Source organism: Homo sapiens, chromosome 12, assembly GCF_000001405.40.
Source record: "Homo sapiens chromosome 12, GRCh38.p14 Primary Assembly".
NCBI lineage: Eukaryota > Metazoa > Chordata > Mammalia > Primates > Hominidae > Homo > Homo sapiens.
In genome coordinates, this window is record NC_000012.12 from 52,341,185 (window position 1) to 52,354,753 (window position 13,569).

At 48.8% G+C, this 13,569-nt stretch overlaps 1 pseudogene, besides 1 other annotated feature; it reads left to right on the plus strand.

The window, feature by feature from the left end:
- On the plus strand, nt 3,035-11,970 carry KRT89P (keratin 89, pseudogene; annotated as a pseudogene).
- Nucleotides 5,973-6,472: an enhancer, noted in NCBI's record as "H3K4me1 hESC enhancer chr12:52740941-52741440 (GRCh37/hg19 assembly coordinates)". NCBI's record gives its function as "activates a minimal SCP1, AML or CMV promoter by ChIP-STARR-seq in primed H9 embryonic stem cells {active_cell/tissue: H9 hESC(primed)}" and the evidence as "EXISTENCE:reporter gene assay evidence [ECO:0000049][PMID:30033119]".

Here is a 13,569-nt window from a genome sequence, read left to right on the forward strand (position 1 = left end):
CAGAACAGAGGCATGGCGAGCCAATCCTGCCACATCAGCTCTGGCTGCGGGGTCAAGAACTTCAGCTCCCGCTCTGCCACTGTGCCCAAGCCTGGGTATCACAGCTGTGTCAGTGCCATGGCCCATCATGGGGTCAGCCCTGGGGGGCTAGGCTCCAGGCGCCTCGGAGGCTTTGGCAGTCAGAGCCTGTGTACGGTGGGGTCTCCCCGGATCGCGGTGAGTTGTAGATGGCCCCTACACAGCAGGGGCAGGTTTGGCTACTGGGCAGGGGGCCTTTGCAGGCCCAGCCCACCCCGCATCACATCTGTTACCATCAACGAGAGCCTCCTCATGCCCCTCAACCTAGAGATCGACCCCAATGCCCAGTGTGTGAAGCATGAGGAGAAGGAGCACATCAGGTGTCTCAACAAGTTTGCTGCCTTCATTGACAAGGTGGGTCTGTGAGCTGTTTCCTGGGACTGTGGCTTAGGAAGGGGAAAGGGACTTGGAACCCGATGATAGGGTGGTTCTAATTCTCCTGTTACTGACTAGCACGTGGCTGTGAGAACGTGGCTGAATCAGGGTCTTGGTTTTCAAATGTTGCCATGTCAGTCAAATGCAAAATGAATCTGAAACCACCAGACAGAAGAGGGGTGTTTGCTGCTGCTGCTCACAGGCAAGCAGCAAGCATGATGTGTGTGCACCGTCCATCTTCCCGATCTCACCGGCACGCAGTAGGACAGTGTGGCAGAGCGGGCCACTCTGCCTAGGCCTGTCTGACCTCCCGCTTAGAGGAGATGCTACCGTCCCTAGCATGGAGCAGGAGCCAGGATGCAGAGGGGTCAGAGGCTCCTTGCCTGCTCCTCCGTGGTGGGGACATCATAGGAAGGCTGTGAACCCTTAGGACTTCTGCCCGAGGCACTTTATACCCTGCAGCACATGCATAGATTAAAGGCAGTGAGTTGAGAAACTTAAAGCATGGTCCAGGGAGAGGCTGTTGAATTGACTTTTCTGATGCTGCAGTTTCAGAGTCCTCCTGGTTGAGTGTATAGCTCTGGTTTCCTTTAACCTAATGATGCCCTCCCTAGGAGCTCACAGTCTTTGGGGGAGGACAGCCACCAAAGTTTAAAGGAGGAGAAGCTCGTCTTCCAGGGCTGAATGGTGTGTATATCTACACCCTGGGACTGCATAAGAAGGCACAAACCAGGGCGATGGTGGGTGGAAGTTCTGCTCTCAGATCAACGCTACATCAGAAGTGGGCATATCTGCACACAGAGGTGCTGGGTGTCCATTGTTAACATACCGCTGGCTGTCCAGATTACTCTTCCCTTCCATCAGCACAAAGAAGCTCACTGTAGAGTTAGGCAGGTTATTCATTGCACAAGGACACCTAGCAAGAGCAGGGGAGGTTGAAATCCAGCCCAGGCTTTGCTTGCAGAGCCATGTGCCCTGGCAGGGGGCTGGAGGCATCTTTTCCTAATTTGCTCAAAAGCACAGTGAGAACCCTGAGAGTGCATGCTCAAAGGGGTCTCTGCATGTGGCCTTTTGGGCATCACCCATGAATGCTGCTCTCTCCGTTGAGAGGAACCAGTTCTGGGTCTGGGGAGAGGAACTTATACCACTGCACCAGGCTGGCTTTTCCCTCCCTTGGGGTTGCTGATGGCCACCCTCTTCCCTCCAGCCTTCTTCCTGCAGGCTCCAAACTGCATTGAGCTCCAGACTACAAAGTGCATTGATATGGTGGGTTTAATCCTGCCAGAGGGCTGTCCCATGACCTGGGTCTGCATGTTGAAATCCAAGGCAGATGCCTTTTGGATAATCAGAGTTTTTGTTCCTTGTCCCTCAAGCACGGACAATTGGACAGTTGAGGGTTTGTACCAGGCTTGTACTCCCAAGAGGTTAGGGTTGGAGAAGAAATCACCTGCTTTAGGGCTGGTAAATGCAAACTTCAACGGGGGCTTGGTGGGTCACATGAATGAAGCCAAACTTGAGAGGCATGCCCACCTAGAGGGACAGTAGCTGCTGCTCACTCCAGCCACAGGCCTACCTAGCCTTGCCAGAACTTCTGGTATGTCAAGAGGGTCAGAGAGATCCAGATTCTTACTTGAAACCACTCAGTTATTAAGTGTTGGCAACTAATCAGATCTCTATAAAACAGTGTGCAAGGCAAGTAAGACATGCCTGTGGGCCTGATAGGGCCTGGAGCTGCCAGTGTACCACTGCTAATGTATTTCTCCTGTCTTGTTTTACAATGCAATTCAGTGAGAATGAGGCAAAGTGGTCTGGTTGGTGGCAGAGTTAGAGTGAGAGGTCTCCTAATTCCTGGTCTGGGATACTCTGTCCTGGGCTTCAGTGCCCCAGCACCAGAGGTAAGGAAGAGTCATGGTATGTACATTTAAAAATTGCTGTTGTACAAATGCCCACAAACTTAGCAACTTAAAACAACACAAATTTACTACCTAAAAGGCTGATGTTAAGGTGTCGGCAGGGCTGCATTTCTTTTTGGAGGCCCCAGGGGAGCATCTGTTTCCAGGGACATTTAGGCTTTTGGCAGAATTGAGGTCCTTGTGGTTGCAGGACTGAGGTCCCTGTTCTCTTGCTGGCTGGCTGCCAGAGGTTGTTCTCAGCTTCCAGAGGCTATCCACATTCCTTGGCTTGTGGCCCCCTCTTCCTCCATCTTCAAAGCCATAATAGCGGGTTGAGTCCTTCTCATGTTTCAAATCCCTCTAGTGCAGGCACCTTTGGGGGGATCATTATTTGCCTAGTATGCATAGTATGAAATATTTCTGCAGGATGTTAATTTCATTCTGTGTAGAATAAACGAACGTTTATAAATAGTGTGCTCTTTCTGGGAAGGGGGGTGGGTGGAGAGAAGTTACTTGGGGACTACTTGTGACCTGCACTTTCAGACTTTGCCAATAATTTGGCCTCCTGGGGAAGGTCACAGGCTGCTGCAGGGCGGGGGCCATCCTCAATGGCAGAAAGAGCTCTGGGGGACCAGGCAAAACCTGCTCTCAGGCTTTCCCCTCAGTCTCTTTCCTCCTTCCTGAATGGCAGGTGCGCTTCCTGGAGCAGCAGAACAAACTGCTGGAGACCAAGCTGCAGTTCTACCAGAACCGCGAGTGCTGCGAGAGCAACCTGGAGCCCCTGTTGCAGGGCTACATGGCGACTCTGCGGCGGGAGGCTGAGTGCGTGGAGGCCGACAGTGGCAGGCTGGCCTCAGAGCTCAACTGCACGCAGGAGGCGCTGGAGGGCTACAAGAAGAAGTGAGCATGACAGGGCTGGGATGGTTCTAGGCAGTGGAGTCAGTCTTAGCTGAGATCACACAACTCCTCCAGAAGCTGAGACTGCTGAAGGCCAGGGTTGCCCTGACAAGCTATCAGACACTTCTGCTTTACCGTCTGCTTTATCTCGTGTCAGCTCCTAGTTCTTACACCCCTGTGCTGGGGGCTGGGAAAAGATTTAGAGAAGAGTTCCCTGTCTGGGAGGGATGGGACACACATTCAGGGTACAGACTGATGCAGAGATGAAGAGATAGGAACAAATGAAACAGGAGGAGCAAGGACAGCAGGGCTGGAGAGGAGGAGCCCGGAGCAGTCAGAGCTAGGACGGGGGGAAAGGGAAAGGCCCTGGAGAGGTATCTGAAAATGAATTGGCTGAAGCCATTCCAAGTATCTGATGAACTTGGATTCTTCCTTTATTTATTCTGCAGATAAACCATCAGGTTATCGTTCTGCAGGGCTCCACAATTCAAATACCAATGTAAATTTGGGTTTTCCTGAGTTATTTAGCTTGTTCATTACCTAGTCTAAACTCACCGGGTCACTGTACTTACCTTGTAGATACAGACAGAGTGAAGGGTGATTTTGACCTCAATCAATCCTGGTAATTCCAACCCTGCTTGGGATTCTTGGAAGTTCAGGTTTTACCATCTGGCTGGACCCAGCAGTGGGTCCTCATGTCCCTTGGGGTGAAGCAAATGTAGACACAATCCTCAGTGTGCAGGCGTCAAGGTCTGTCTCCCACTCTGGGGGTGTGCGGGCTGGTAATTATAGAGCTGAGTGCTTACTGTAGCCCCAAATGACCATGGAATTCAAAAGTTATGAAAACAGGCCGGGCGCAGTGGCTCATGCCTGTAATCCCAGCACTCTGGGAGGCCGAGGTGGGTGGATCACCTGAGGTCAGGAGTTCAAGGCCAGCCTGGCCAACATGGTGAAACCGCGTCTCTACTAATAATACAAAAAAAATTTAGCTGGGTGTGGTGGTGGGCGCCTGTAATCCCAGCTACTCAGGAGGCTGAGGCAGGAGAATCGCTTGAACCCGGGAGGTGGAGGTTGCAGTGAGCCGAGATCACGCCACTGCACTCCAGCCTGGGCAACAAGAGCGAAACTCCGTTTCAAAAAACAAAATAATAATAAAGTTATGAAAACCATGCTCTGGGCTCTGGGAACTCTGGTCTTCTTTGTGGGGGCAGGGCTGCTCCTGGGCTACAATCTCACAGGCAGGAGGAAGAGGGCTGGGCTGCTGGAGGAGGGTGGGGGAATGGCTTGAAGAAGGGGTTGCTTCTAGGAATTCAAGTCCTTGGATATTGGGGCAGGGGGAATAAAACCTCATGGGGGTGGCTTCATAGAGCTTTGTGTTTTGTACAGTGTAGAATTTAAAGGCTCTGTGGAATATCTGTCTGTTTTTAAATAGTTCCACAAATATTTATTGAGTGACTCACTGCACTTCAGGTGATTTAGACCAAGACACAAAGAGATTAAATGTCTTGCTTCAGGTTTTGCAGCAACTTCAGTTAAGCTGGGACCAGATACCAGGGACCTGGACTTCAAGTCCAGTGTCCTTCCAATGGGTTCTTTGTGGCTGGGAAATAGAAGTCCAGAGAGGCAAAACCTCTTCTCCAAAGGCACAGAGAAAGGAGAAAACCAGGGAGTTTGGCACACCTGGGCTCTGGCCTGGCCAGGTCCTCAGTCCCAGGGGCCTTTCCACCTGGGTTGTTTCTCCTCAGGTATGAAGAAGAGCTGGCCCTCAGGGCCACAGCTGAGAATGAGTTCATGATGCTGAAGAAGGTGAGTAACTGTTCTCACATGGGAAGAATTAAATCCTGGACACCGGACGCTCTGATGCTGTGGGCCCTGTCAGGTTCCCATTAGCCCAATTGTTGGTGGTAAGGTACTGGAGCCCCTGGCACAAGAAGGTGGGTTAGTTTGGTTGCAGAAGCCATCATAGAGCCCATGCAGGAATCCAGACAGTGCCGATAGAGCCTTCATAAAAAGAAAACCTCACCATGCTCCTGCTTGACTTTTTTTAAACTACTGGATTGGCTGAAATGTTCAATTTTAATTCCGTCTTGGTTTTTTGCGGGCATTGCCTCCCCCTGTTATCCAAGACTAGGGGTTGGTTCTCAGCTTGTTAATGATTTCAAAGTGTGACCATCATTCAGTGCAATTGGTGATGATGGAAAAGCCCTGGGGAATAAAACTGTGAATGGTTTCCCTTTTGTTTCATGTTGCTGAGTGAAAGTGCATGTGAATGTTCTTTAACAAGTAATGTGCTTGCTTGCCAGCCTCCTTATTTGTGAGTATCACAGGGTGGAGTGAAGGCTGGTGACAGATCTGCCAATAGAGGCTTGGCCTTGGTCTCAGGCAGGAGAGTCAGCTATTTGAGTGCTGGTGGTTTCCTGGCCTGGGCTCTGAGGACAACCTACAGAGAGGCTCTGTGACTGTCGCATGCTTGTACTCTGTGGGTCAGTCTGGCTGGGAGGCAGCAGCCTGACGTTCTGGGCCGTGGTATGAGGCTTCCTTCTTTGGCAAGGTCCTCGGCTCTCCACTTCATTTCCCCAAGTGGTCTCATTTATGCAATGGGAGGTAACGTCACTGGCAGACAACAAAGGCTCTGTCCCTTCTAGGGGGTCCCTGAAGGTGAAGATCAGAAGTCTAGGTTAGACTTGTAAGTGAAGGGTGGCTGGGCAGGGTCAGGCCAGAGGCAGAGAGGTGGGCCAGGAGGTGGCCTCAGGGCCCGCTGAGGAGAGCCGAGGCTCAGGGGCACAGCGAGGGGGACAAAGGTCACTCCACATCCTCTTGTGTCTATCTCCACCAGGATGTAGGCTACACCTATCTGCACGAGACGGACCTGGAGGCCAACGTGAGCCGCTGAAGGAGGAGTCAGTCTTCCTGCAGTCCCTCTACGGGGAGGTAAATCTCTCCCCATCTCTGGAAGAGCAAGTGAGAGAGGAGACAGGGGAGGGTTTCCTTGGAGTGTGGCCTGTCCTGGTTCCTGGGTTCTAGGAAAGCTGTACATTCTTGACTCTCCTAGGCCTGGATATTTTTCCTTATGTGACCAGAGGGGATTTTTCTCTTGTTCGGGTGGAACTGGGTGATGCCCTTCCTTTAAGATGATTTGAAAGAAAGTGGTTAATTCCCATGTCATGAAGTGGAGATCTGACAATTAATTTATTAATTTAGGTAGTGTAAAAACCCAAGCAGATAATCCAGGCCTCTCCCTCTGGCCACAATCTGGTTGATTAGATTTGTGCATAGAGCTATAGCTGATCTGGATTATTCAGGCCCCAAGGCGGGGTGAGCCGGGGTGACGGCATACACATAAATCCAGCTCTGTTGATCCCTGTATTAGTAGAATTCCACGTTACTCATTGCTTTGAGGCCACAGTCCCAATTCCAGCCTTTTCCTCTTAGAACTACAGTTTTTAAATTTTCCTGACTTGCTGGTAGTTTTCTAATTTCAGAGTTGGGATATTTTTTTTTTTTTTTAATTTCCTGAGAAGATAGGATCAGAAGGGGATTTGGAGTTGAGGGCACTGGTTGCTGTCTTCTACAGGAAATCTGCCTCCTTCAATCACAAATCTCTGACACCTCCATGGTGGTGAAGATGGACAACAGCTGGGAGCTCAACATGGACTTGGTTGTGGCTTAGATCAAGGCTCAGTATGATGATATTGCCAGCTGCAGCCGGGTGGAGGCTGAGACCTGATACCAAACCAAGGTAGTCTGGAGGGCAGGGCAGCCCCACTGAGACAGGAGGATAGCTGTGAGCCTCGAGTTTCCCTGGGAAACGCACTCCTGCACTCTAGAGGGGCTGCCGCTGAGGTCCTGGGTAGAGCAGGGCCAGAAGGCGGGAGAGCTGTGGAACAGTAGGCTGGCTGATTGGGTCGGGGACAGCAGCCTCTAGCCATTGTTTCTGCGTGTTTGCCTCTCAACCTGCAGTGCGAGGAGGTGAAGGCCACAGTGACCCAACAGGGTGAGAACCTCCGCAGAACCAAGGATGAGCTCAACGAGCTGAACTGCATGATCCAGAGGCTGACGGCAGAGGTGGAGAACGACAAGCAGCAGGTTGGGGGGCGCCGAGACCCCGCTCCATACACCTGCCACTTCTTGTCTGGTTCCTGCTTCCCTCCTATCTTCAGGGACTGCTACCATTTGGAGAGGCGTGTATTTGAACTGTGCCAGAGTACACTACTATAATCAGCATGCAAGGGCTCCTGTTCCAACACCCACTATTATCAAACTTCCAAATTCTTGTGGATCTGATAGGTGTAAACTGGCACCTAATTGTTATTTTAATTTTCATTTCTTTGGTTAAGTAGTGATATCAAATCTTTCCTCATACACTTACTAGTTATTTGTATTCCCCTTCTAAGACCTGTCTACTCATATATCTGCCCATTTTTCTATTGTGGTTCCTTCCTTTTTTCTTAGTGATTTGCAGTATTCCTTTGTCCATTCTATCTGGATTGTAAGCCTTTGTCAGTACACATATTGCAATTAACTTTCTCTCAGTCTATCACTTGTCTGTTTGTCCTTTATTGAGCCCAAATCTTTAAGCTGGATGTGCCCAAATCCATCTTAAGTTCTTCCTTTAATGGTTTAGACTTAGAAGGTATTGAGGTAATAGAGGTAGCCTCTTAAATTTCTCCCCCCGTTAGTTTTATAGTTTTACCTCTTGCATTTAGGTCTGTGATCCATCTGAACTTTATTTTTTTTTTTTGTATACACAGTGAGTAGGGTTCTAAATTAATTTTTCTACATATCATAAGAAAATAGATTATGTAATCCATCCTTTCGCCAGTGATTTGTAATACTACCTCCAGCACAACACAGTGCTCCCACACATGCCTGGCTTAATCTCTGTCTTCTGCCTTCTGAGTTGCTGTTCTTCATCACTGCACAGGATGTATCATTAGTAATTTGTTGTGGTTAAGACCTGAGTAATGAAATATGCGAGTGGTTTACTTTTTAGATGTGAAATTAGAGAAGATTCGAAGTTGTCCCGTGATAACAGTGCTTTTGTTCATTTGCTTCTGATATGCTTTCTTAAGCGGGGTGAAGGGAGGGGCTGTAGTTAGTGTGTCCGGAGTTGTTGCACATGGGAGCTTCTTTCAGCAAGATGATCTCAGCAGGCCAAAGAGTGAGACCCTGCACAGTGGCCTTTGAATACCTGAGCTTGGTGCTAATTAACTGCATAGCTTAGGGCAAGTCACAGCTTTTTGGAGTCTTAATTTCTTCATTTGCATAATGGGAACAATAATGCCTGTAGTGACAAGCTTGCAGAATAACTTTGAAGGTCAAATAAGATAACATCTATGAAAGTACCTTGTAAACGAACAACGGTATATACAAGTATAAGGTAATATCACTAATAATGATCATTCCTATTTCAGTGCTAACATTTCCTCCCTCTAATGGCTCACCTGCCAAACTCAAGTCAGTTTTATGATAAAGTGTACAAAAATGAAGGAAAAAAATCCAAATGGGCCATGTCCCTGCCTAGTTAATTTTCCATTTATATGTATTTCTTTTAAATAGTATTAAGTTTAAAAATTAACCGTTTTGAATGGAGATAAAATAGGATGACCAAGGCCACTGGAGACCCACCAGAGTCCCCACAACCTGCACCCTTTTTAAACTCCTTCCCTTCTGTCCATCCCCACAGCGCTGCAAGCTGGAGGCTGCGGTGGCCCAGTCTGAGCAGCAGGGTGAGGCAGCCCTCAGCAATGCCCACTGCAAGCTGGCTGAGCTGGAGGACGCCCTGCAGAAGGCCAAGCAGGACATGGCCTGCATGCTCAAGCAGTACCAGGAGGTGATGAACTCCAAGCTGGGCTTGGACGTGGAGATCGCCACTTATCGCAAACTGCTGGAGGGTGAGGAGATCCGGTGAGGACAGGGGCTCCAGGGTCCCTTCAGGTTCCTACTCAGAGCTGGACTGAAATATTCCAGGCAGAGAATGTTCAAACTGGGAAAGACTCTAGAAATCATGGACTCCAACCATGTCCCCATTTTGCAGATAGGGAAACTGACATCAGAGAGGGGAAGGGGCTTGCCCAAGAGCACAGCCAGTTAATGGCTCACCTAAAATGTACCAGTCTCTGGGCTGGCCACCAATGCTCTTCTCCCTCCTGCACGGCCCCTCAGGCTGGAATCTGGATCTCATTCCAAGGCCACTACTTTACCCTCTTGACTGAAAGGATGTTTCTGCAATCAGCTTCAGTGGGTTCTTAAAGCTGGAATCATTCAGAAAATTAGTTAAAGGCCATTTGATTTGGGATGTGCAAAGAATCCTATCAACCTAGATAGCCTGGTGTTCAGGACCAGGGAATAGAAATGAGCGGCACAAGTTCTGTCCTTGCAAAGGAAGACAAGACAGACATACATCAGTCCTCCAGAGCCTGGGGTTAGTGGCCCAGGGAAGCTGTCACAGAAGGAGGCTGCCTTCTCAACAGCTGAGGAGAAGCTATGCTGACAATTTGAGCCAAGAATTGAGGGCAGGTGAAGCCAGTGTGGGGCAGAGTGATGCGTATTTACACCTGGGATGGTTGCATGGTCCTCTGGACTTGGGACGGCCACATCGTTAGAGTTTCTAGCTGGGTCCCTTCAGGGCGGGGAGGCTAGACTGGGTAGTAGAGTATACAGGTGAAGAGCACAGGCCATGAGCCCACTCTGGGTTCAAATCCCAGCTCTGCCACTTATTAGCATGTGACCTCTTTGTACCTCAGCATCTTCAGCTGTAAAACAGAGATAATCACAAAATCCACCTTGTAAGGCTGTTGCAGGATTAAGTGAGTTTTAATGGAACATAGTAAGCCCCAGTAGGAGGAGGTGATTGTCATGAGATGATGGCCAGGCTGGGCTGCCCCCATGAAGAGGGAACTCAAAGGCCTGGTTGGCTTTGGAAACCTTCCATGAAGCGTCACTGATGGCAGCCCGGCCACGCTGCTGGACTTGCTCCATGCTTGGCTCAAGCACACACACTTTTCTGCCAGCTTCCTTGGGGCTTTGGGTGAAGCCACTGGAGTTCTGTCTGCATTCGGATACTTAAGCCCCCAACCCACTCACTAGCATTCAGTGAGCAGCTGGCACTTGCACTGATTTTCATTATGATACTAATAATTAATGGATTAATAACTCAATCAGAATTATTAGTACACATCCCCTATCCATGTGATTTTAAAGTCAATTTAGCATATTGTGCTATGTGTACTGTGGCCATTGACCTTTTAAGAGACTGCCTCCTCTTGGCATTTAAAATATTTAATTTAATTACATAAGTAATGCTCGCTGCTGCCAATACAGAAAATAAGAAAACAAAAGCATTCAGAGCCACTCAACTCAGAGATAGCTGTCGCCAGCATTGTGGTTTGACAGGCACCACCACGGGCACTGTGGGTTCCTTGAAAGGGCACAGTCGTAAGGCTGTGGCAATGCCAGACTGAGTGGCAGGAAACCGAGCCAGATGTGTACATCCTCACTCAAAAGATGAGTGAAGAAGTGTTTTGAGCTGGGCAGAATGAGGCAGGGTAGAGCTTTCCTGGGGAAAAAGGTTTGAAGTGGGAAGCTACAAAAGGGGAGACAGAACAGAAAGTGCAGAGAGGTGTGAGGGAGGAGGGAGTGTTTATAAAAAGCCCACTGTAGTGGTATATATGTCTCATCATAAATAATATCCACATATTTTTTGAGACAGAGTCTCACTCTGTTGCCCAGGCTGGAGTGCAGTGGTGCAATCTTGGCTCATTGCAAACTCCTCTTCCCGGATTCGAGTGATTCTCCTGCCTCAGCCTCCCAAGTAGCTGGGACTACAAGTGCCTGCCACCATGCCTGGCTAATTTTTGTATTTTTAGTATAAAAAGGGTTTCGCCACGTTGGCCAGCCTAGTCTCGAATTCCTAGGCTCAAGTGATCCACCTCCCTCAGTCTCCCAAGGTGCTGGGATTACAAAAATGAATTGTTTATAATGTTGGTAGCAAACATATTGGATTTCCTTACTATGTGCCAGTCTCCATTTTAGGCACTTTCCATGTAGAACTCAATCGAACTTTACAATAATCCTTTCAGGCAGGTATTATCACCCCCATTTTATGCTGGAGAAATTGAGGCACAGAAAGGTTAAGCGACCTGCCCAAGATCACCCAGCTAGTAAGCCGCACAGCCAGATTTAAGTCCAGGCAGCCTGGCTTGAGAGTCCAGGCTCTTAACCACACCATACTCTTCAGCCTCCCTCTGCATTGAATGAAATCAGATAGATGTCTGGGGTACCATTTAAAATCATGGTATAAAAATGAATCTGTTTGAGTAATAGGCAAGCTTTTTCCTGCTCAGAGACGTCTAGCTAGGTAGCAGCAGCTTCCATCACCACTTTGGCTTTGCTGGCATTTCCAGCCAAGGGACCAGGAGGATGCCCCCCTCATCTCTACTTCCCAGTTCACCAAATTTCCATGGCTGAAAGCCAAACATGGCATAAAGTGGCATTTTGGATCCTGTAAGCTAACATACTCCTGTCCTTTTGGGATCCCAGCAAGCAGGACCAACACTGATGCTGTCTGCAGCAGGTGGGTAGCTTCCCCCTGCCTCTTAGGGCCCTTCTTCTCCTTCAGCATGGAGGAGAATAGGTTTGGTGCAAAAGCAGAGGAACTCAGCACTAACCGTACACTCTCTCCTCTCCCTGCAGGCTGTGTGAAGGCGTGGGCTCAGTCAATATCTGTAAGTTGGGTGTGTGTGGGCATGGCTTTCTGGGGTTTCAGCAATCTTAGTATTAGATTGCATCTAACTGATGACCAAGCCTCTGTCTATGGAGTGGTAGACAAGGGACTCCTGAGCTGATGTCTCTGGGATCCAGACAAACTGATGACCTCAAATATTTGACCATACATGGATCCATCTGGAACACCCATGAAGTCTAAGTTAATGAATGGTGCAAATTCTGAACCCCTATTTGGTTCTGCAAAAATAGCTTAAGCCTTTTAGTTACACACAGAATACTACTCAAGTGGTAGCATGTTCTAGTAAGAAAAAAAGCTAGGTTTATATTCTGATCATGTGGGTCTCTGCAGGCAACTTGTAAATCTCTATCTAATAATCCAATGTACACACAGCCCCTGGGCCAGGTGTCTGATTCCCATCCCTCCATTCCCCTCACCTCTCTAGCAACCATATTTCTAGATGACTCCTCTAGTGTGATCTATCAGTTTTTGCTCAAAGATTGTATGAACATGTCTCAACATCAGCCTGGTCCAAGTAGAGTTTGGTGTGCAATTTGCTAACCACACTCCTGAAGAAGCAGATGGCAGTGGGTTCAGGTTTGCCTGTAGTTTAAAAAGACTCATGTTGCTGGTCCCTCAGAGAAGGAAGATAATTAATCATTGGTTCTAAAGGATTCTGGGTCATAACATGTCTGAGATGGAAGAGAATTCTGACCTGTGTCTCTGTCCACATGTGTGAGCCATTCCCAGGGTGGTGTGGTCTGCGGGGACCTGGACTCCACTGCCTCCTGTGGCTCAGGGGGTGTGGCCATCAGCAGTGGTGCACTGTGTTGCCCCTCTGCAGTGGGGGCCTGCTCCAGTGCCCAATCTGTGCGGTTTGCATAGAGGGGGTGGGACTCTGGACGGACCTGTTCTGATGGGGGCAGTGTGGGTTGGGGAGTGGAAATCTTTTCTCTTGCATGACCAAATGTCAGTTTAGTAATTTCCCCTTACAGAGAACCCAGAACTAACTCTCCTGTTTCCTTCTTATTGGAGTTAACAATTTACTTTCTCTGTGTAAACCCTGGGTTTGACATTATTTTCACTTCCATTGCTTCTCCCCTTCCCTGTGGTTCAGGAATGAAATAGAAAGGCTTTTTTTTGAATGAATTTCTCGGTCATTGTCTTCCCCAATTAACTTCAGGCCAGCAGATGTTAAATTAAGTCCTGACTGTGTGCCAGATCCTCTTGGAACGGAGCCAGCTAGAGGGTGTGGAGTATGTGGGAACATCTCTGCGCTTTGCCCTCGGATGACAGGGGCTCCAGATGCTGCCTCAGCATGGAAGGGTGGTGTGGGTGTGGAGCTGGGCTCCTCACTTGCTCTGAGAGATTGTATATTCCCAGAGTCCCCCAACTATTCATATGTCCAGATTGAAAGACTGACGGAGGCTAATCAGCTGGGTTTATACTGTTTGTTGCCTGGAAGTTCATTGTATTTGCATGATTCCTGTATGGTTCCTTCTTTCTTTTGGTGTGCTTGATTAAATATCAATGGCGAAAGGCTTTTTCTTAGTAACCAAGTTAATGCCTGCCTCCTTCATTGTCTTCCCAACCCACCCAAAG